This window comes from Homo sapiens, chromosome 10, assembly GCF_000001405.40.
Source record: "Homo sapiens chromosome 10, GRCh38.p14 Primary Assembly".
Classification (NCBI taxonomy): domain Eukaryota; kingdom Metazoa; phylum Chordata; class Mammalia; order Primates; family Hominidae; genus Homo; species Homo sapiens.
Window position 1 is genome coordinate 30943348 of NC_000010.11, and position 23782 is coordinate 30967129.

At 38.3% G+C, this 23782-nt stretch overlaps 1 protein-coding gene across 54 annotated transcripts in view, besides 3 other annotated features; it reads right to left on the minus strand.

Moving 5' to 3' along the window:
- Window positions 1–23782, minus strand: part of ZNF438 (zinc finger protein 438) — a 187780-nt gene that overhangs the window by 98716 nt on the left and 65282 nt on the right. The window contains exons 4-5 of one of the 54 annotated variants that reach the window (XM_047424745.1): window positions 21056–21232; window positions 11080–20042 (exon numbers count right to left, since the gene is read on the minus strand). The exons of 52 other annotated variants lie outside the window; for them this stretch is intronic. The gene's annotated coding sequence lies outside the window, so the exon portion shown is untranslated. The remainder of the gene's footprint in view (window positions 1–11079; window positions 20043–21055; window positions 21233–23782) is intronic. One more of the 54 variants, XM_047424744.1, reaches the window with a different exon arrangement.
- Window positions 3700–3900: a silencer, noted in NCBI's record as "peak916 fragment used in MPRA reporter construct". NCBI's record gives its function as "represses an SCP1 promoter by STARR-seq MPRAs in K562 erythroleukemia cells {active_cell/tissue: K562}" and the evidence as "EXISTENCE:reporter gene assay evidence [ECO:0000049][PMID:32103011]".
- Window positions 15851–15900: an enhancer, noted in NCBI's record as "active region_3230". NCBI's record gives its function as "activates an Ori minimal core promoter by ATAC-STARR-seq in GM12878 lymphoblastoid cells {active_cell/tissue: GM12878}" and the evidence as "EXISTENCE:reporter gene assay evidence [ECO:0000049][PMID:35858748]".
- Window positions 16021–16250: an enhancer, noted in NCBI's record as "active region_3231". NCBI's record gives its function as "activates an Ori minimal core promoter by ATAC-STARR-seq in GM12878 lymphoblastoid cells {active_cell/tissue: GM12878}" and the evidence as "EXISTENCE:reporter gene assay evidence [ECO:0000049][PMID:35858748]".

Consider the following 23782-nt stretch of genomic DNA (forward strand, 5'->3'; position numbering starts at 1 on the left):
ATCTATTGAGACAGAGGGAAAGGGAGGAGGAGAGAAGAAGGGAGAAAAAGAGATGAAGAGAAAGCATATGAATGGAAAAAATACTTGAATTTAAGAGTTTTAAGAGAAAAAAATTGCCAGAGAAGAAGAAAACAGAAAAGAGGGGCTTTTAGTATTTAAGATATTGGAACAATTCTGGTTGGCATAACTGAGACAGTTAAAACACTATGAGTTCTGAGTATCAGAAACTCAAAATATGAATTTGGAGAAACAGATTATAGTCACATAGTGTGGGTTGACATTACTTTCAAGCCTGGTGGTGACATCATTGAAGAATTTGGAGCAGTGTCCTGGAAGTCAACCAGTAACAGGAATTAGAAAAGGGAGATGGTAGTGAAAGAGTTATAAGAAAAGGAACTAAGGAACAAAGGTGGCATGCTGAGCCTTGAATTGATACTGGTGAGCAAAGGTACACATCAAGCCTCCTTTAAAACCTAGATTTTTTAAATGCCATGCTTTTTCTTGAGATGGTAAAACAAACAAACAAACAAACAAACAAACAAACAAATTGCGGCCTTTGAATGCCAGGTTTAAATTTCTAGGGAAGTGAAGGGAAAAGAGTTATGAGAGAAGATCAAAGTTCTAATAACTTGTTCACAATAGAGCATAAGGTCCAAATGACATAAGGAACTGAAAGTAAGTCAGCAGTGGACTAATTGTGGGTTCCATCTGAACTGGGAGCACGACTGCTTGGAAAAAGAGAGCATAAGAGTAGGGCGTCACCTAAGTTGTAGGTGACAAAACACCAATCTCTCTCCCTCTTTCTGACACATCTGTTTCGGCAAAAGACTGGCCACATGTGTCAACAGTCTCTGACTCTCAGAACTTGCTTGTCCAAATGCAAATTCATTGTCCAGTCATCTACATAGTAAACACTACAGGGCAAGTTAAGTCAATCCAATTTGAAGGGGTAGGAAGACTAGATGCAAAGCTAGGTGTACTCTTTTACCTAGTTTCTCTATAAACAAAACTGACATTTTCGTTCTTATCTTAAGTCTACTTCTTAAAGAGTTCAGAGGTAAGAATAAAAAAGTGATATAATTAATTGGTCCCTTCAAACTCCACCAACAGGGATGTAAAGTAAATAAATAGAAAGTAGTATGAAGAAAACTATATGGGGGTTGGGTTGAGGGGAGAACTCGCCAGCTACAGTGGTTTTGAATTTCTAGACACATTCAAGGACTTAATAATGAGACCCAGTTCAGTTGACGAATGCCACTAGAGGTGGGGAGATTTCTAATTAAGGAGTTGATACCTCTAACAGATATAGCAGCATTCAGATTTTTTACTTCTTTTGAGTCATTTTTATGCTGTATTTTTCAAGGGAGAGTACTAAATAATGGAACAAATTCAAGAGAAGATGGAACAAGAACGTTAGTGCAGTTAGTCATGTCAAAGAGGAGAAACGGTTGTTTCAAGGAATCTGTTTATTTCATTAAACTGTCGAATGTATTGACACAAAATTGTTCATCATATTTTCTTATCCCTTATATATTTCCTGGATCTCTATTAATGTTTCCTGTTTATTCTTATATTGTTAATTTGAACTTTCTTTTTTTTTCTTAGTAGGGGTTTATCAGTTTTGTTATTCTTTTCAAAGAAACAACTTTTGGTTTTGTGGTTTTGTTGATTTTTTTCTACTTTACAGTACTCTTCCAGATTTTTTTTTTTTTTACTGATATTCTGCCTACTTGTTCTAGCAACTGAAAGAAAAGTGAGAAAGAGAAGTGTTGAGAAAACTAACTGTAATAGCTTTATCTATTTCTCTTTTCTGTTCTGTCCATTATTGCTTCAAGTATTTTAAGGCTCTGTTAGTATCAGGCTTACAGACATTTAAAATTATGTCTCTTTAATTAATTGATTCTTACATCATTATGAAATATTTCTCAATACTGCTAGTATTATCTCATGTTTTGAAGTTTATTTTATTGGCTAGTAATATAGCTCCCTCCAGTTTTCTTAATGATTAGTATCTGCATGGTATCTCTTTGGATTCTTTTACTTTTTTTTTTTTTATTTTTTTTTACTTTTTTTTATTATACTTTAAGTTTTAGGTGCACATTGTGCAGGTTAGTTACATACGTATACATGTGCCACGCTGGTGCGCTGCACCCACTAACTCATCATCTAGCATTAGGTATATCTCCCAATGTTATCCCTCCCCTCTACCCCCACCACACAACAGTCCCCAGAGTGTGATATTCCCCTTCCTGTGTCCATGTGATCTCATTGTTCAATTCCCACCTATGAGTGAGAATATGCGGTGTTTGGTTTTTTGTTCTTGCGACAGTTTACTGAGAATGATGATTTCCAATTTCATCCATGTCCCTACAAAGGACGTGAACTCATCATTTTTTATGGCTGCATAGTATTCCATGGTGTATATGTGCCACATTTTCTTAATCCAGTCTATCATTGTTGGACATTTGGGTTGGTTCCAAGTCTTTGCTATTGTGAATAATGCCACAATAAACATACGTGTGCATGTGTCTTTATAGCAGCATGATTTATAGTCCTTTGGGTATATACCCAGTAATGGGATGGCTGGGTCAAATGGTATTTCTAGTTCTAGATCCCTGAGGAATCGCCACACTGACTTCCACAATGGTTGAACTAGTTTACAGTCCCACCAACAGTGTAAAAGTGTTCCTATTTCTCCACATCCTCTCCAGCACCTGTTGTTTCCTGACTTTTTAATGATTGCCATTCTAACTGGTGTGAGATGGTATCTCATTGTGGTTTTGATTTGCATTTCTCTGATGGCCAGTGATGATGAGCATTTTTTACACCTTATACAAAAATCAATTCAAGACGGATTAAAGACTTAAACATTAGACCTAAAACCATAAAAACCCTAGAAGAAAACCTAGGCATTACCATTCAGGACATAGGCATGGGCAAGGACTTCATGTCTAAAACACCAAAAGCAATGGCAACAAAAGACAAAGTTGACAAATGGGATCTAATTAAACTAAACAGCTTCTGCACAGCAAAAGAAACTACCATCAGAGTGAACAGGCAACCTACAAAAGGGGAGAAAATTTTCGCAACCTACTCATCTGACAAAGGGCTAATATCCAGAATCTACAATGAACTCAAACAAATTTACAAGAAAAAAACAAACAACCCCATCAAAAAGTGGGCGAAGGACATGAACAGACACTTCTCAAAAGAAGACATCTATGCAGCCAAAAAACACATGACTCTTTTACTTTTAACCACTTTGTATATATTTGAAGGGAATATTTTGTAGACAGTATAGTTAGGTCTTGCTACTTTATCCAGCCTGATGATTGCTGTCTTTAGAATATTTAGATCATTTAAACTTAATGTAATTATTTATATGGTTGGATCTGAATGAATTATCTTGTTATTTCCTATTTCTCCCAATCTGTTCTTGTTCCCTTTTCCCTTTTTTTCCTGCCATATTTGAAATTGAATACTTTTTAGTTTTCCATTTTATCTCCACTACTGGCCTATTATAAATATACTTGTATCTTTGTAGCTTTAGTGATTGTGCTCGTGTTTAAAATATGCACATTTAACCTGCCACAACATAACTTCAAATATTATACCACGTCACATACAAAATATAAAAACTTTGTAATAAAATTTATCTATTTCCTCCTTCCTGTCTTTTGTGCTACTGTCATCATAATCTAACTACTGTAGGACTGTTATACTAGAGAAGCTACATGCAAGTCCTCTGGTAGACAGTCCCAGATAAAACTAGGTTTTGGGTTATCTTTGCCAAAGTGACAGAAATGTGATTACAGCTGTCTTTTATCCTCCAGACCGCATTGAGCTCATTCTCGAGTTGAAGGCCACCAAGTGACCTCAGGTGATGCTACATGAAAAAGAATAACCATCAGCTGAACCTGCCCTTTTCTCTGGCCCACAAATTGTGAGGTACAATAAAATGGCTGTGTCTTCAGGGGATGTGTTTAGGTATTTTCTTACACAGAATTAGAGAACCATAACAGAATCTAGTAAAGGGAAGTGGAATTCTGTAATAAAATCTTAAAACATTGCTCTCTTCAAAGCTGTCAGACAGGGACATTTAAGTCTGCAGAGGTTACTGCTGTCTTTTTGTTTGTCTGTGCCCTGCCCCCAGAGGTGGAGCCTACAGAGGGAGGCAGGCCTCCTTGAGCTGTGGTGGGCTCCGCCCAGTTGGAGCTTCCCGGCTGCTTTGTTTACCTAATCAAGCCTGGGCAATGGCGGGTGCCCCTCTCCCAGCCTCACTGCCGCCTTGCAGTTTGATCTCAGACTGCTGTGCTAGCAATCAGCGAGACTCCGTGGGTGTAGGACCCTCCGAGCCAGGTGTGGGATATAATCTCGTGGTGCACCATTTTTTAAGCCCGTCGGAAAAGCGCAGTATTCGGGAGGGAGTAACCCGATTTTCCAGGTGCCATCTGTCACCCCTTTCTTTGACTCGGAAAGGGAACTCCCTGACCCCTTGCGCTTCCCAAGTGAGGCAATGCCTCGCCCTGCTTCGGCTCGCGCACCCACTGACCTGCGCCCACTGTCTGGCACTCCCTAGTGAGATGAACCCAGTACCTCAGATGGAAATGCAGAAATCACCGTCTTCTGCATCGCTCACGCTGGGAGCTGTAGACCGGAGCTGTTCCTATTCGGCCATCTTGGCTCCTCCGCAGCTGGAGATCTCAGTACGGGCAGACTGCCTCCTCAAGTGGGTCCCTGACCCCTGACCCCTGAGCAGCCTAACTGGGAGGCACCCCCCAGCAGGGGCACACCGACATCTCACACGGCAGGGTATTCCAACAGACCTGCAGCTGAGGGGTCCTGTCTGTTAGAAGGAAAACTAACAAACAGAAAAGACATCCCCACCAAAAACCCATCTGTACATCACCATCATCAAAGACCAAAAGTAGATAAAACCACAAAGATGGGGAAAAAACAGAACAGAAAAACTGGAAACTCTAAAAAGCAGAGCACCTCTCCTCCTCCAAAGGAACGCAGTTCCTCACCAGCAACGGAACAAAGCTGGATGGAGAATGACTTCGACGAGCTGAGAGAAGAAGGCTTCAGACGATCAAATTACTCTGAGCTACGGGAGGACATTCAAACCAAAGGCAAAGAAGTTGAAAACTTTGAAAAAAATTTAGACGAACGTATAACTAGAATAACCAATACAGAGAAGTGCTTAAAGGAGCTGATGGAGCTGAAAACCAAGGCTCGAGAACTACGTGAAGAATGCAGAAGCCTCAGGAGCCGATGCGATCAACTGGAAGAAAGGGTATCAGCGATGGAAGATGAAATGAATGAAATGAAGCGAGAAGGGAAGTTTAGACAAAAAAGAATAAAAAGAAATGAGCAAAGCCTCCAAGAAATATGGGACTATGTGAAAAGACCAAATCTACATCTGATTGGTGTACCTGAAAGTGATGGGGAGAATGGAACCAAGTTGGAAAACACTCTGCAGGATATTATCCAGGAGAACTTCCCCAATCTAGCAAGGCAGGCCAACGTTCAGATTCAGGAAATACAGAGAACGCCACAAAGATACTCCTCAAGAAGAGCAACTCCAAGACACATAATTGTCAGATTCACCAGAGTTGAAATGAAGGAAAAAATGTTAACGGCAGCCAGAGAGAAAGGTCGGGTTACCCTCAAAGGGAAGCCCATCAGACTAACAGCGGATCTCTCGGCAGAAACCCTACAAGCCAGAAGAGAGTGGGGGCCAATATTCAACATTCTTAAAGACAACAATTTTCAACCCAGAATTTCATATCCAGCCAAACTAAGCTTCATAAGCGAAGGAGAAATAAAATCCTTTACAGACAAACAAATGCTGAGAGATTTTGTCACCACCAGGCCTGCCCTAAAAGAGCTCCTGAAGGAAGCGCTAAACATGGAAAGGAAAAACCGGTACCAGCCACTGCAAAATCATGCCAAAATGTAAAGACCATCAAGACTACGAAGAAACTGCATCAACTAACGAGCAAAATAACCAGCTAACATCATCATGACAGGATCAAATTCACATGTAACAATATTAACTTTAAATGTAAATGGACTAAATGCTCCAATTAAAAGACACAGACTGGCAAATTGGACAAAGGGTCAAGACCCATCAGTGTGCTGTATTCAGGAAACCCATCTCATGTGCAGAGACACATATAGGCTCAAAATAAAAGGATGGAGGAAGATCTACCAAGCAAATGGAAAACAAAAAAAGGCAGGGGTTGTAATACTAGTCTCTGATAAAACAGACTTTAAACCAACAAAGATCAAAAGAGACAAGGCCATTACATAATGGTAAAGGGATCAATTCAACAAGAAGAGCTAACTATCCTAAATATATATGCACCCAATACAGGAGCACCCAGATTCATAAAGCAAGTCCTGAGTGACCTACAAAGAGACTTAGACTCCCACACATTAATAATGGGAGACTTTAACACCCCACTGTCAACATTAGACAGATCAACGAGACAGAAAGTCAACAAGGATATCCAGGAATTGAACTCAGCTCTGCACCAAGCGGACCTAATAGACATCTACAGAACTCTCTACCCCAAATCAACAGAATATACATTTTTTTTCAGCACCACACCACACCTATTCCAAAATTGACCACATACTTGGTAGTAAAGCTCTCCTCAACAAATGTAAAAGAACAGAAATTATAACAAACTATCTCTCAGACCACAGTGCAATCAAACTAGAACTCAGGATTAAGAATCTCACTCAAAACCGCTCAACTACATGGAAACTGAACAACCTGCTCCTGAATGACTACTGGGTACATAACGAAATGAAGGCAGAAATAAAGATGTTCTTTGAAACCAACGAGAACAAAGACACAACATACCAGAATCTCTGGGACGCATTCAAAGCAGCGTGTAAAGGGAAATTTATAGCACTAAATGCCCACAAGAGAAAGCAGGAAACATCCAAAATTGACACCCTAACATCACAATTAAAAGAACTAGAAAAGCAAGAGCAAACACATTCAAAAGCTAGCAGAAGGCAAGAAATAACTAAAATCAGAGCAGAACTGAAGGAAATAGAGACACAAAAAACCCTTCAAAAAATTAATGAATCCAGGAGCTGGTTTTTTGAAAGGATCAACAAAATTGATAGACTGCTAGCAAGACTAATAAAGAAAAAAAGAGAGAAGAATCAATAGATGCAATAAAAAATGATAAAGGGGATATCACCACCGATCCCACAGAAATACAAACTACCATCAGAGAATACTACAAACACCTCTATGCAAATAAACTAGAAAATCTAGAAGAAATGGATAAATTCCTTGACACATACACTCTCCCAAGACTAAACCAGGAAGAAGTTGAATCTCTGAATAGACCAATAACAGGATCTGATACTGTGGCAATAATCAATAGCTTACCAACCAAAAAGAGTCCAGGACCAGATGGATTCACAGCTGAATTCTACCAGAGGTACAAGGAGGAACTGGTACCATTCCTTCTGAAATTATTCCAATCAATAGAAAAAGAGGGAATCCTCCCTAACTCATTTTATGAGGTCAGCATCATTCTGATACCAAAGCCGGGCAGAGACACAACAAAAAAAGAGAATTTTAGACCAATATCCTTGATGAACATTGATGCAAAAATCCTCAATAAAATACTGGCAAAACGAATCCAGCAGCACATCAAAAAGCTTATCCACCAGGATCAAGTGGGCTTCATCCCTGGGATGCAAGGCTGGTTCAATATACGCAAATCAATAAATGTAATCCAGCATATAAACAGAGCCAAAGACAAAAACCACATGATTATCTCAATAGATGCAGAAAAAGCCTTTGACAAAATTCAACAAACTTTCATACTAAAAACTCTCAATAAATTAGGTATTGATGGAACGTATTTCAAAATAATAAGAGCTATCTATGACAAACCCACAGCCAATATCATACTGAATGGGCAAAAACTGGAAGCATTCCCTTTGAAAACTGGCACAAGACAGGGATGCCCTCTCTCACCACTCCTATTCAACATAGTGTTGGAAGTTCTGGCCAGGGCAATTAGGCAGGAGAAGGAAATAAAGGGTATTCAATTAGGAAAAGAGGAAGTCAAATTGTACCTGTTTGCAGACGACATGATTGTATATCCAGAAAACCCCATTGTCTCAGCCCAAAATCTCCTTAAGCTGATAAGCAACTTCAGCAAAGTCTCAGGATACAAAATCAATGTACAAAAATCACAAGCATTCTTATATACCAGCAACAGACAAACAGAGAGCCAAATCATGAGTGAACGCCCATTCACAATTGCTTCAAAGAGAATAAAATACCTAGGAATCCAACTTACAAGGGATGTGAAGGACCTCTTCAAGGATAACTATAAACCACTGCTCAATGAAATAAAAGAGGATACAAACAAATGGAAGAACATTCCATGCTCATGTGTAGGAAGAATCAATACCATGAAAATGGCCATACTGCCCAAGGTAATTTACAGATTCAATGCCATCCCCATCAAGCTACCAATGCCTTTCTTCACAGAATTGGAAAAAAACTACTTTAAAGTTCATATGGAACCAAAAAAGAGCCCGCATTGCCAAGTCAATCCTAAGCCAAAAGAACAAAGCTGGAGGCATCACACTACCTGACTTCAAACTATACTACAAGGCTACAGTAACCAAAACAGCATGGTACTGGTACCAAAACAGAGATATAGATCAATGGAACTGAACAGAGCCCTCAGAAATAACGCTGCCTATCTACAACTATCTGATCTTTGACAAACCTGACAAAAACAAGCAATGGGGAAAGGATTCCCTATTTAATAAATGGTGCTGGGAAAACTGGCTAGACATATGTAGAAAGCTGAAACTGGATCCCTTCCTTACACCTTATACAAAAATCAATTCAAGATGGATTAAAGACTTAAACGTTAGACCTAAAACCATAAAAACCCTAGAAGAAAACCTAGGCATTACCATTCAGGACATAGGCATGGGCAAGGACTTCATGTCTAAAACACCAAAAGCAATGGCAACAAAAGCCAAAACTGACAAATGGGATCTAATTAAATTAAAGAGCTTCTGAACAGCAAGAGAAACTACCATCAGAGTGAACAGGCAACCTACAAAATGGGAGAAAATTTTCGCAACCTACTCATCTGACAAAGGGCTAATATCCAGAATCTACAATAAACTCAAACAAATTTACAAGAAAAAAACAAACAACCCCATCAAAAAGTGGGCGAAGGACATGAACAGACACTTCTCAAAAGAAGACATTTATGCAGCCAAAAAACACATGAAAAAATGCTCATCATCACTGGCCATCAGAGAAATGCAAATCAAAACCACAATGAGATACCATCTCACACCAGTTAGAATGGCAATCATTAAAAAGTCAGGAAACAACAGGTGCTGGAGAAGATGTGGAGAAATAGGAACACTTTTACACTGTTGGTGGGACTGTAAACTAGTTCAACCATTGTGGAAGTCAGTGTGGCGATTCCTCAGGGATCTAGAACTAGAAATACCATTTGACCCAGCCATCCCATTACTGGGTATATACCCAAAGGACTATAAATCATGCTGCTATAAAGACACATGCACACGTATGTTTATTGTGGCATTATTCACAATAGCAAAGACTTGGAACCAACCCAAATGTCCAACAATGATAGACTGGATTAAGAAAATGTGGCACATATACACCATGGAATACTATGCAGCCATAAAAAATGATGAGTTCACGTCCTTTGTAGGGACATGGATGAAATTGGAAATCATCATTCTCAGTAAACTGTCGCAAGAACAAAAAACCAAACACCGCATATTCTCACTCATAGGTGGGAATTGAACAATGAGATCACATGGACACAGGAAGGGGAATATCACACTCTGGGGACTGTTGTGTGGTGGGGGTAGAGGGGAGGGATAACATTGGGAGATATACCTAATGCTAGATGACGAGTTAGTGGGTGCAGCGCACCAGCGTGGCACATGTATACATATGTAACTAACCTGCACAATGTGCACATGTACCCTAAAACTTAAAGTATAATAAAAAAAATTTAAAAAATTAAAAAAAAAAGTAAAAGAATCCAAAGAGATACCATGCAGATACTAATCATTAAGAAAACTGGAGGGAGCTATATTACTAGCCAATAAAATAAACTTCAAAACATGAGATAATACTAGCAGTATTGAGAAATATTTCATAATGATGTAAGAATCAATTATACATATGTAACTAACCTGCACAACGTGCACATGTACCCTAAAACTTAAAATATAATAATAAAAAAAAAAACATACACACACACACACACAAAAAAAAAACAAACATGTGGCATTGGCTTTGGGACCAGAGGTGAGCAGAAGCTGGAAGTGACTTAAGAAGACTGTTAGTGAAGGTTTGAACAACATTAATGAAAACCTTATGGTGGATAGATGAATAACTCTTCTTATGCAGTGGGAAGTTTGTAACACTGTTCCTCACATGAAATAGAAAAGACAAAATAGGCCGGGCACAGTGGCTCACACCTGTACTCCCAACACTTTGGGAGGCCAATGCGGATGGATCATGAGGTCAGGAGTTCAAGACCAGCCTGGCCAACATGGTGTAATCCCTTCTCTACTGAAAATACAAAAAATTAGCTGGATGTGGTGGCGGGCACCTGTAATCCCAGCTACTCAGAAGGCTGAGGCAGGAGAATCACTTGAACCCGGGATGTGGAGGTTGCATTGAGCCAAGATCGCACCACTGCACTCCAGCCCAGGCGACAGTGCGAGACTGTTTAAAAAAAAAGACAAAATATACCCCCATAAAGTGGTAAATTTGGCTAAGAAGATTTCTAGGCGAAAGGTTGAAAGTGGTGGTCTCCTTTAGCTATCTATAAGTTATGGATACACAAACTGATGAAAGAACTGTTTCATTTTCAAGTAGAAGTTAGAGGAAAATTTTTAAAGAACCAGGACTTGATCTTTTCAAAACTAAACAGTTTCTCATCCCCATTATCTCTAGAGAGAAATGTAAGAAAAAGCTTCAGAGTTACAGAATTACTATTAAGGCTTGGGGCCTACTACCAGTAAAGCGTGGTTTCAGGATAAAAATCTCTACAGCATGGCTGTAAAACACCTTGTTGAGACTGAAAGACTAAAATCGTATCTAGTTCAGTTCTAAGAATCTTAAGAGTATGACACTTAGATTCTGTTCTAAGGCAAAAGGCCTCTAAGAATCTTGATGATGTGCACTTTGGACTCTTAAATAGACAGAAAAGCTCATAGGAATATTATGGGTGTTGTTTCAAAATACCTTGACTCAGTATGAAAGAAAAAAAATGCCTCTCTAAAATAAATGTGGGTGGGCCTCTGATTAATGGAGCGGGCTACAATTTGATACACAGGAAGCCCACAAAGTTTTAAAAAACATTATATCAGCTTGCACTGAAAGGGACAGAGATAGTGCAAAATGAAAACAGGCTTTTGGACTCTCAAATTTCTACAGGCAGAAAGGCTGAAAAGGCTACTCAGTTGCAAAAAATGACCATTTCTTACAGAAAAAGGATGACTCTAAATTGAGAGAGCAAAACCTCGAGCCAGGGAGAATCATTATCAGGAGGCAAGAATAGCCTAATAAAAGAACTAACATCAGTATATCAAAATTTCTATGGACCAGTAAAGCTGTATGTTTCCTGTTTCCCTATTTGTGAATGGGAATGTTTACTGCAGCTATTCTATGACTGCCTCTTCATTATATTGTTGGGTAGTTGTCTCTTCAGCTACACCTGAGAAGATTCCTGAACAGTGTACTTGTTGTAAATAACAAGTTCTTGAACTTTAAGACTCAGGGTAAAGAAGAGTTGGAAAATAATTTTGGGATTCTTGGAGGTGGGTGAGTAAATAAGGAACATAGGAAGAGACTGAATCATTTGTGACCAGATAGTGGACTGTGGTGGATTAAAGATGGCCACAAATGTTTTGATACTTCTTCCACTGGAAGGTCATGCCTATGTCTTCTCTCACTAAAACTGGAAGAACTCTGTGACTCCTTTGACCAACAGAATATAGTGGAAGTGATATGGTACCATTTTTCAGTTTTAGGCTTTAAGACGCTGGCAGCGTCCACTTTCTATCTCCACGAAAATTCTCTCTAGAAGCCGGAAGCCACAATAATAAGTCTGACTATGCTAAGACTACCATGCTAGAAAGGTCATGTAGACTTAGCCTTCCACCTCTGCCCAGGCACCCTGTATATATGTATCTTGAATCCTCCAGAGAATTCCATCCACCAGCAGAATACCACCCAGTGATCTCAGTCAACGAAACATGCAACCAAAAATCACCAAGCTGGGACCTGCCTGAATTTTCAACCCATAGAACGATGAGCTAAATGAGACTTGCTGTTTCACACCACTGAATATTGGGGCATTTTATTAGGTAGTAACATATTATTACAACGTTGATTTTTGTAACTTATTATTATTTTTTTTAGTTGTTCCAGAAGCCACAATGTCCCATTACCACCTTCTACAACCTAACTGAAAGCAGAAACCTGAACCTAGTGATTTTGCAGAAGCAATTTGCAAAGTTCATTATAAGGTAAAATTATTTCTGAGAGGCCAATTTTCTCTAAGATATTCTAAAACAAACAATTTTTCAAACACAATATACTCCAACTAAATCACTGCAATTATAACCATTTTCGTCTTACTAAATAAACTATTGTACATAGATAATCAAGCCAAAGGATTCATGCTCAGGCTCTCCTTCAGTTCATTTAACACAGTTATTCAGTCACTTTCTCATGATTGAAGCAAGAGTGGGATTACAAATAGAAAATTAAGACCCTTTATGGTACTCTACAGCAGTGATTTTCAAACACAACATAAAAAATACCAATGTGAGATAAGTGATGAAATATAAAAGAGAGACTGTTAGTGAAATGATAAACTATGTTTACGTAAATATGTGTGTGACCAAACTGACATCTTTTTAAAGTTTTATTTTATTTTTGACACATAATAATTGTATATATTTATGGAATACAGTGTGGTATTCTGATACTTGTCATTTTTTAATGAGAACATTCAAAGCTTCTCTTGTATTTTGAAATATGTTATTATTAACTAAAGTCACCCTACTGTACCATAGAACACCAGAACTTATTCCTCCTATGTGACTGTAGGTTTGCACTTGTTGACCAACCTCTCTTCATCTCTCCTATCTCTTCCCCACCCAGTGGTAACCACTATTCTACTTTCTACTTCTATGAGATAAACGTTTTTAGATTCCACATATAAATGAGATGCCTGGCTTATTTCACTTAATATAATGACCTCTGGGTTCATCCATGTTCACTGCAAATGATAGAATTTCATTCTTTTCTATGGCTGAATAGTATTCCATTGTGTATATATGACATATTTTATTTATCCATTCATACACTAATAAACACTTAGGTTGATTCCATATCTTGGCTATTGTAACTAGTGCTGCAATAAACATAGGAGGGCAGGTATCTCTTCAACAACATACTGATTTCACTTATTTTGGATATATAAGCCGTACAGTGAAACTGTTAGATCATATGGTAGTTCTGTTATTAATATTTTAAAGAACTTCCATGCTGTTTTTTATTATGGCTGTACTAATTTACATTCCCACCAACAGTGTAAATTAACAGTTCCCTTTTCTCCACATCCTTGCCAGGACTTGTTATTGTCTTTTTGGTAATAGCCATTCTAACTGGGGTAAGATGATAATCTCATTACTGTTTTGATTTGCGTTTCCCTGATGTAGTGATGTTGAACATTTTTTCATATGTCTGTTGCCATTTGCATGTCTTCTTTTGAGAAATATCTATTCAGATCTTTTCCCACTTTAGCATTCAGATTGTTTGCTTGCTTTTTGCTATTGAGTTGTTCAGATTCCTTACACATTCTGGATGTTAACCCCTTGTCAGATGTGTAGTTAGCTAATATTTTCTCCCATTCTACAGATTGTCTCTTCACTCTGTTGTTTCCTTTGCTGTATAGAGCTTTAAGTTTGATGTAATCCCATTTGTTTATTTTTTCTTTCCTTGTCTGTGCTTTTGAAGTCTTACCCATACAAACCTTATCTAGACCAATGTCATGAAGTGTTTCTCCTGTGTATTCTAATAGTTTCATAGTCTGTCTTTAATCCATTTTGAGTTGATGTTGGTAAGAAACAGGTATCTAGTTTCTGCACATGGATGTCCAGTTTTCCTAGCCCCATTTATTTCAGAGGATGTCCTTTCCCCAATGTGTGCTCTTAGCATGTTCATCAATCAGCTGGCTGTAAATACATGGATTTCTGGGTTCTCTATTCTGTACCACTGTCCTATGTGTCTGTTTTTATGTGTGTACCATGCTGTTTTGGTTACTATTGGTTAATATTCTTTGGGATATTTTGAGGAGAATTGACATTATTACTATTTTAAATGTTCAACAGGAAAAGCATCAGGGTTTGGGCTGTTCTTTGATGGACTAATTCTTATTACTGATTCAATTTTGTGACTCATTATTGCTGTACTCAGGTGTTCTATTCCATTATGATTTGGTCTTGGTAGGCTGTATGACCTTTGACCTTCCTGTGCCTGGATATTTATATTTTTCTTGAGGTTTGGAAATGCTTTGTAGTATAATTTGAAGTCAGGTAGTGTGATGCCTCCAGCTTTGTTCTTTTTCCCAATGTTGCTTTGGCTACTCGAGGTCTTTTGTAGTTCCATTTTTGGGACTGAGTCATACGACCAAAGAATAGCATTCCTGGCCTTGTACTTTTGCTGATCTCCTCCCTATTCACTCAACAGGGCTGTATTTATCAATGTGCCTTTGATGTTAGGCTACCAGACTGTATAGAAAGGGGGCTCAAGAAACAGGTCTTCAGAAGAGAGTCTTCAGTTATTTACTATGAGGATGTTATTTAAGGACAGACTTGATTACACTGCACTATAACAAAAAGAATACATTTTCCTTTGAATATAATTATTAGGCTTCTCCTAAAATATTGATAAATTTTGATCTTGTGAACAACAGAAAAGAAATTTCATATTGAGAGATGTCTTCTTAGAGAGCTTAGAGCAAAATCCATGATCCACCTCAAGCAAAATATAGGAGCTTTTATAAGATATAATGTGTGTCCCATCCTTACTCCATTTGTACTACTTTTATAATTTTGATATGGATTGAAGTGCAATTTATATGCCATAAAATTAATCATTGTCCATTGAACAGGGGACAGTTCAATGACGTTTTAGTCCATTTATAGAGGACCAGAATGTACTAAATGGATGCAATCATCACTACAATCCAGTTTTCCATTATCTCTCCCAATTCCCTTGAGTTCATATGCAGTCAATTCCTGCTCCAACCCCTAGTTCCCCTCTAATCTCCTTGCTAACTCAATCAGTTTCCCTTTTCTAGAAATTTCATAAGTGAAATCATATAATATGTAGTCTATTGAGTCTAGTTCCTTTCACTCAACACTATATTTTTTAGTTTCATCCATGCTGCAGCATATATCAATATTTTCTTCCTTTTTCATTGCTGAATAGTATTCCAATGTATAGATATGCCTCATTTTGTTTATCCATTTACCAGGTTATGGACATTGCATTTTTTCTTGTTTTTATTAATATCTATTACAAATAATGTTGCCAAGAGCAATTACATACAAGTCTTTGTGTGAACATATGTTTTCATTTCTCTTGGGCAGATTCCAAGAAGTGGAATTGCTGAGTTTATATGGCACAATGATTAAAAATTATGTATCAGTTTGGCTGGACCACAGCACTCAGATATTTGGTCAAACATTATTCTCGACATTTCTGCAAGAGTAATTTTGGACAAGATCTGCATTTAGACTGTTAGACTTTGAGTAGAGCAGATGGTTCTCCATTATATGGGGGAGCTTCATCTAATGAGTTGATGGCCTGAATAGAACAAAAGGATGACCTCCCTGGGCAAAAGGGAAGTCCCCAGCAGACTCCCTTCAGACTTCATCTGCAACATTGGCTCTTCTGGTTTTCCAGCTGACTGCCTTTAGACTCAAACTGCAACTCTTTCTGAGCCAATTAATTCCTTAAAATAAATTTTGGCCGGGCGCGGTGGCTCACACCTGTAATCCCAGCACTTTGGAAGGCCGAGGTGGGCGGATCACGAGGTCAGGAGATTGAGACCATCCTGGCTAACACGGTGAAACCCCGTCTCTACTAAAAATACAAAAAAAAAAAAAAAATTAGCCGGGCGTGTTGGCAGGTGCCTGTAGTCCCAGCTACTCAGGAGGCTGAGGCAGGAGAATGGCGTGAACCCGGGAGGCGGAGCTTGTAATGAGCCGAGATCGCACCACTGCACTCCAGCCTGGGTGACAGAGCCAGACTCCGTCTCAATAAATAAATTTCTTCACACACACACACATACCTGATTCATTCTGTCTCTCTGGAGAACCTTACTACATATGGTAAGTTGGTTTAACTTTAAAAGAAATAGCCAAACTATTTTCCAAAGTGGTTATAACAATTTACATTCCTACCAACAATGTATAATATGAGAGTTCCTGTTTCTCCACATCCTAGACACTATATACTGTCTTTTTTATTACAGCCATCCTAGGGGATGTAATCTCATTGTGGTATCTCATTGTGTTTTTAATGTGTATCTTCCTAATGACTAATGATGCTCACTGTGCTTACATGTGGCTATTAATCACTCTCATGTCTTTTCAGATGAAGTGTCTATTCTGTTCTTTTGCTCACTGTTAAGTTGGGTTGTTTGCCTTATTATTTACTTATAATTCTTTACATGTTTTGGATACAAGTCCTTTATCACACATGATTTGCAAATATTTTCTCCCAGTCTGCAGCCTATCTTTTCAGTTTCTTCCCAATGTCTTTTGTAGCATAAAAATGTTAATTTTAATTAAGTCAAATTCATCAATTTTTTATCTTATGGCTCATGCTTCTGGTGTCATACCTAACAACTCTGCCTAATCCAAGGTCATAAAGTTTCTTCTATGCTTTCTTTTAGAAGTTTTATAATTTTAGCTCTTACATTTAGGCCCCTAATTCATTGTCAGCTAATTTTTGTGTATTGTTATTGTGAGGAAGTTAATTTTTGTATATGATATCCAATTTTTCCAGCACCATTTGTTGAAAAAATAACCCTTTCTCTATTTGTCTTAGCAGCTCTTCCAAAAATCAATGGACCAAAAATGTAAATGTTTATTTCTGGACTCTCAATTCCTCTCCATTGATTTATATGCTTATCCTATGCCACGGCCACGTTGTCCTGAATACTGTCACCTTAGATTGAGTTTTGAAATGGGGATGTATAAATCCTCCAATTTTGTTCTTTTACTCATTTATTTTAAATTTTATTTGATCCCACTGTACTAAGTGTACTTAGTAATACCACCTTAAATCCTTTCTTAGACAAGATAGATATAAATATAAAAATAAAATAGGCTATATTTTAAAGACGTTTTCAAAATAACATAATCCTTTTAAGATTTCAACCATTAACGTATTCCCCTAGGATTGACTGTAAAATTAAGTTTTCCCACCCCCGACACTCACATCAACAAACATTTACTGAATGCCTACTATGTACCAGGCACAGTGCAAGGTTAGGTGCCAAAGATACAGAGAAAAATAATATATACTTACTCACTTAGCACTTAAATAGACAATGATGGCATAGTATATTAATAACAGGTATGTACAAGATAAAGAACAAAAGATATTAATCTTATCTTACCAGATTTATCTTACTTTATATAAGCCTGTTTCTTAAAAAAAAAAAAAGTTTTTTTTACATATGTATACATATGTAACTAACCTGCACAATGCGCACATGTACCCTAAAACTTAGAGTATAATAAATAAAAAAAAAAAATTAAAAAAAAAAATTTTTTAATTTATTATACCTTTTTAAAAAATTATTAGAAATGAGGTCTCGCTATGTTGCCCAGGCTGGAGAACAGCGGCTATTCACAGGCATGATCATAGCGCACTATAGCCATGAACTCCTGGGCTCAGGCGATCCTTCCGCCCCAGCCTCCTGAGTAGCTGGGACTACAGGTGTGCACAACTGTGCCTGGCCTGAAACAAATGATTTGTGAAACTTCTACCAGCTTTAATGTTCTTTGATTGTATAATCGCATTTTATTTTTTTTAAACAAAAAGTGCTAAATTTTAAATTTGATAGAATCCCTTCTAACCTGCCTGTATTAGAAGACAAGAATAGGGCTGGGCACAGTGGCTCACGCCTGTAATCCAAGCACTTTGGGAAGCCAAGGTGAGTGAATCACTTGAGATCAGGAGTTCGAGACCAGCCTGGCCAACATGGTGAAACCCCGTCTCTATTAAAAATACAAGAGATTGGCCGGGTGTGGTGGCGTGCGCCTGTGATCCTAGCTACTCAGGAGGCTGAGGCAGCAGAATCGCTTGAACCCGGGAGGTGGAGGTTGCAGTGGGCCGAGATTGCACCACTGCTCTCCAGCCTGGGTGACAGAGTGAGACTCCATCCCAAAAGAAAAAAAAAAAAAAAAAGTTTTACAAATTTTGGTACTTTCTAAACAAAATGCGTTTAAAACTACCAGAGAGGCTAGTACTTACAAAAGCTTGAAATAAGAAATTCTGTTGTAAAGTACTGGTTCTCTCCATCAGTTTAGGTCTTTTAATTTGCTTTTTCTTCTTAAGGTTACAAAAGCGAAAAGTCTTATTTCACCTCCAACCCACCTTACTCTTTCCCATAAAGGTAACTTCTGTTATGCTCTGTCAACTCCTGCTTGTACAGAGCAACAAACTATAGAAGATACAGATAGTAAGAACTCTTAAAATACTCAGATCAATCTCAAACCTTATTTTAGATATAAGCTTCAGCCTCTTTCCCACTAAACTTGACATCAGAATAACTAGTAAAACTTGTAAGTTACTCACTTTCCTTCTTCCTCCCAACCTATGCCCCAGAAAAGTTGGAGATTAATAGAAAAAGACATAAGCAACACATCTAAATAACGTGCATGTGTGTATGAAAGTTTCATAGTGCACATTCCTGAAACTTGTTCTATAAGAGATTTTAGTAAGTGTTCTTTAAAAATAAAGTAAGAAAGGAAGGAATTTGGAAGGAAGAAAGACAGGGGGTGGGTGTTCCCAAGTTCAAATACATTTGGGAAACACTGGGTTAAATAAAATACCAATATACACTACGTAATATACATTGTGATTGCTCCCACTTTTCCTAAAATTAGCAAACCACCAAAACCTTTAATCACGGATCACTTAGTAATATCTTGAAAGAATCTAGGTCTTTACAAAAATACAGTGTGAGAAGCAAGTTGGATATAGCTTCCGGCTCATTGTCACACTGGCAGCAATTCATACAGCTGAACAACTGTGGATATTCAGAGAAACATGCACAAGGTCACATCAATTTGCTACTGGCCAGAAGACTAAAATATAAAATAAAAATTAAAGTGAGCAGACTGTCTCAAGATTCCATCTTTACTGTTTTGGAAAAACTGGTTTCGTTTCTGTGTGGCATTATTTTTCCTTTAGCTATATAATAAAATAATACAAGTAGATGTTTGACTCTAAAATGCACTAATGGGTTTGCTTTTAATAAGTAAATATAATCAAAGGGTCTCAATATAAATTATATTCATTTTAAAATCTCCTTTACAAAACAAAAAATAGGACTAAAATAGTTTGTAATATTAGTACATGCTTTATTGTGAAAGAAACTTTAAGAGGTTGGCCGGGCACAGTGGCTCACACCTGTAAGCACTTTGGGAGGCCAAGGTGGGCAGATCACCTGAAGTCAGGAGTTTGAGACCAGCCTGGCCAACAGAGTGAAACCCTGTCTCTACCAAAAATACAAAAATTAGCTGGGCATGGTGGCGGGCATCTGTAATCCCAGCTACTCAGGAGGCTGAGGCAGGAGAATTGCTTGAACCCAGGAGGTGGAAGTTGAAGTGAGCCGAGATCGTGATACTGCACTCCAGCCTGGGCGACAAGAGTGAAACTCCATCTCAAAAAAAAAAAAAAAAAAAAAGAAACTTTAAGAGGTTAATAGAAACTCCTATCAAATTATGATATTTATCTATAGTGACAAATATCGATAGCCACCTATCTACGTGTAAAAAAATAGTGAACTTGGAAATATCTCCTTATATGTTAGGATTCAAATCAAGATATAACTCAGCAGTGAGCACTAGTATATATGCCAATGAGGCCAGGCCCTGTGGCTCACGCCTGTAATCCCAGCACTTTGGGAGGCCAAGGCGAGTGGATCACAAGGTCAGGAGTTCAGGAGTTTAAGACCAGCCCGGCCAAGATGGTGAAACTCCGTCTCTACTAAAAACTACAAAAATTAGCCGGGTACGGTGGCAGGCGCCTGTAATCCCAGCTAATCGGGAGGCTGAGGCAGAAGAATCCCTTGAATCTGGGCAGCAGAGGTTGCAGATTGCAGCACTGCACTCCAGCCTGGGTGACATAGTGAGACTCCATCTCAAAAAAAAAAAAATTTTTTTTGCCAATGAGATTGAATCAAGCTTTTATTATCAAACTGTAGTCATGAACAATAACTTTTCAGTGTATCTTATTCCTGTCTTCCTGCTGAAATTTTACTTGGGTGAAAAGTCTGGGAGGATTTCCTACTAAAGTGATCCTTATAGTAGCTGAAATAGCTGCTGCATGTCCTAGGTGGAAGCTTTTCTGAAATTCTACTTTAGGAGAAAATAAGGAACAAATAAGTCACTGATGAAGAAAAGTTTCCACCACACACTTCAAGCATTCTCTTTTTTAGTTGTTTCTTCATTGCTGCTCGGCACAGGAAGTGTGATAACTGTCACCCTTACTTATAAATGTCAGATAGCCTTACTCTTTTATACTCAAACCCCAACTATTTGTTTAATGCCCTATTCAAGCTTCCATTAAATCTTTGATCACTCTCTAATTCAAGTAAAAATGATTTCTCCTTCCTCAAAGCTACCTGATTCTTGTCCATGCCTCTCACTTAGCTCATAACTATATTTAACATACTTTAGGTTGCTGTTTAACTTGATTAGTGTCCATATCCTCTTCGTTGAGAAGTCTAGGACACTTCAGATGGCAGGAACAAGGTGATGCACATCTCTGGAGAGTCCACAATACCAGGCACAATGCTGTTTACACTAGCATTCTGCAAGTATTTGTTGACTGACGGACATTAGTATTTTCCTGGGGGAAAATATAAGTGTTCAGGAAATGTTAACAGATTATCTTTAATCGATAACTAAATGAAATCTTTTTTTCTATGACCAAGCAGTGTCACGGATAGGTCAGCCAAGTATAGATCACCTAAGGACTTGGGCACAGAATGTTGTGAGGAAATTAACTGTTCAATGACAAAAGGACTCTGAACAGGACCTACCATTACAGATTAACAGGAAGGATGTAGACATGCACACAGTCATATGCATATGGAACAATGACCTCAAACTATAAAAATCCGAGAAAAAAACCTAGGAAATACCATTCTGGACACTGGCCTTGGCAAGGAATTTGTAGCTAAGACCTCAATTGCAACAAAAAAATTGACAAGTGAGGCCTAATTAAACTAAAGAGCTTTTGCACAGCAAAAGAACTATCAACAGCATAAACAGACCTTACAGAATGGGAGAAAATATTCAAAAACTATGCATCCAACAAAGGTCTAATATCCAGAATCCATAAGGAACTTAAGCAATTCAACAAGCAAATAACCTCATTAAAAAGTGGGCAAAGGACATAAACAAACACTTCTCAAAAGAATACATAAAAACAGCCAACAAACATATGAAAAAATGTTTAACATCACTGATCATCGGAGAAATGCAAATCAAAACCAAAATGAGATACCATCTCATGCCAGTGAGAAGAGCTATTATTAAAAAGTCGAAAAATAATATGCTGGTGAGGCTGCAGAGAAAAGGCAATTCTTATACACTGCTGGTGGGAATGTAAATTAGCTCAGCCACTGTGGACAGCAGTTTGGAGAGTTCTCAAAGAACTTAAAAACAGAACTACCATCCAACCAGCAATCCCATTTCCTAAAGGAAAATAAATCGTTCTACAAACAAGACACATGAACTCCTATGTTCATGACAGCACTATGTACAATAGCAAAGACATGGAATCAACCAAGGTGTCCATCAAAGAAAACGTGGTATATATACATCATGGAATACTATGTAGCCATAAAAAAATAAAATCATGTCCTTGGCAGCAACATGGATGCAGCTGGAGGCCATTATCCTAAGTGAATTAACTTAGGAACAGAAAATTAAGTACTGCATGTCCTCACTTATAAGTGGGAGTGAAACATTACGTACACATGAACACAAAGATGGCAGCAATAGACACCGGGGACTACTAGAGGAAGGAGAGAGGGAGGAGGGAGGCAAGAGTTGAAAAAGTTAACTATTGGGTACTATGCTCAGTACCTAGGTGACAGGATCATCCATAACCCAAACCTTAGCATCACACAATATACTCATGTAACAAATCTTGTGGCACATGTAACCCCTGAATCTAAAATAAAAGTTGAAATGATTTTTAAAAATACAAAGATGTACGTACTAAATGCATCACTCTTTACTATTAGCAATACTGTAAAAAAAATAGAATCTACAAAAGTAATCTGGCAGTCTCATTCATTCATTCAACAAACCATTATTGAAAACCCACTGCCTAAAATTACCCAGCACTTTGGAGGCCAAGGTGGGAGGATCACTTGAGAACAGGAGTTCTAGACAAGCCTGAGCAATATAGCGAGACCCTGTCTCTACAAAATGAAAAAATAAGTAGGGCTTGGTGGCATTTGCCTGTAATCTCAGGTACTTAGGAGGCTGAGGTGGGAGGAGCACTTGAGCCCAGGAGTTTGAGGCTACAGTGAGCTATGATCATGCCACTGTACTACAGTCTGGGTGACAGAGTGAGCTCCTGTTTCAAAAAAAAGAAAAAAATGATTTTAAATAGGCAAACTTTTGCTGTTAAAAAGAATCAAGGGGCCGGGCGTGGTGGCTCATGCTTGTAATCCCAGCACTTTAGAAGGCCGAGGCGGGTGGATCATGAGATCAGGGGCTCAAGACCATCCTGGCTAACACGGTGAAACCCTGTCTCCACTAAAAATACAAAAAATTAGCCAGGTGTGGTGGCACGCACCTGTAGTCTCAGCTACTCGGGAGGCTGAGGCAGCAGAATCGCTTGAACCTGGGAAGTGGAGTTTGCAGTGAGCTGAGATTGCGCCACTGCACTCCAGCCTGGGCAACAGAGCAAGACTCCATCTCAAAAAAAAAAAAAAAGAAAGAAAGGAAACCTATTGTGTGACAGGCTCTGTATTAGGCACTGGGGAACTAAAGGTAAATGATTAATATCAGCAATTCATGTTGGCTCTTTAAAGCAGATTTAGACAGATTTAATCCAAAAATTCATCTACCCACCCCCCTGTAAAACTGTATTCCAGACAGTTAAGGTACACTAAAAATATTTTATCTCATTGCTTAGAGCAATGCAGACAGTTTACTTTGCCTACACACTAGCAAACTTAAAATTATCCTAGAAACTCTTTCAAAGAGATACTGTTTCGTTTCAGTCCCCAAGTCCCTAGGTTCCCAAGTTGATGACTGAGGACAAAGAGATGTGCTATAAGCAGTAAGAATAAACTTACCCTTGGAGCCTTGTCCAAACAAAAGCTCTTTACCTGAGATTAAGGCAGCATTGGCAAAAGTACTCCTTTTCCCTGTAAAT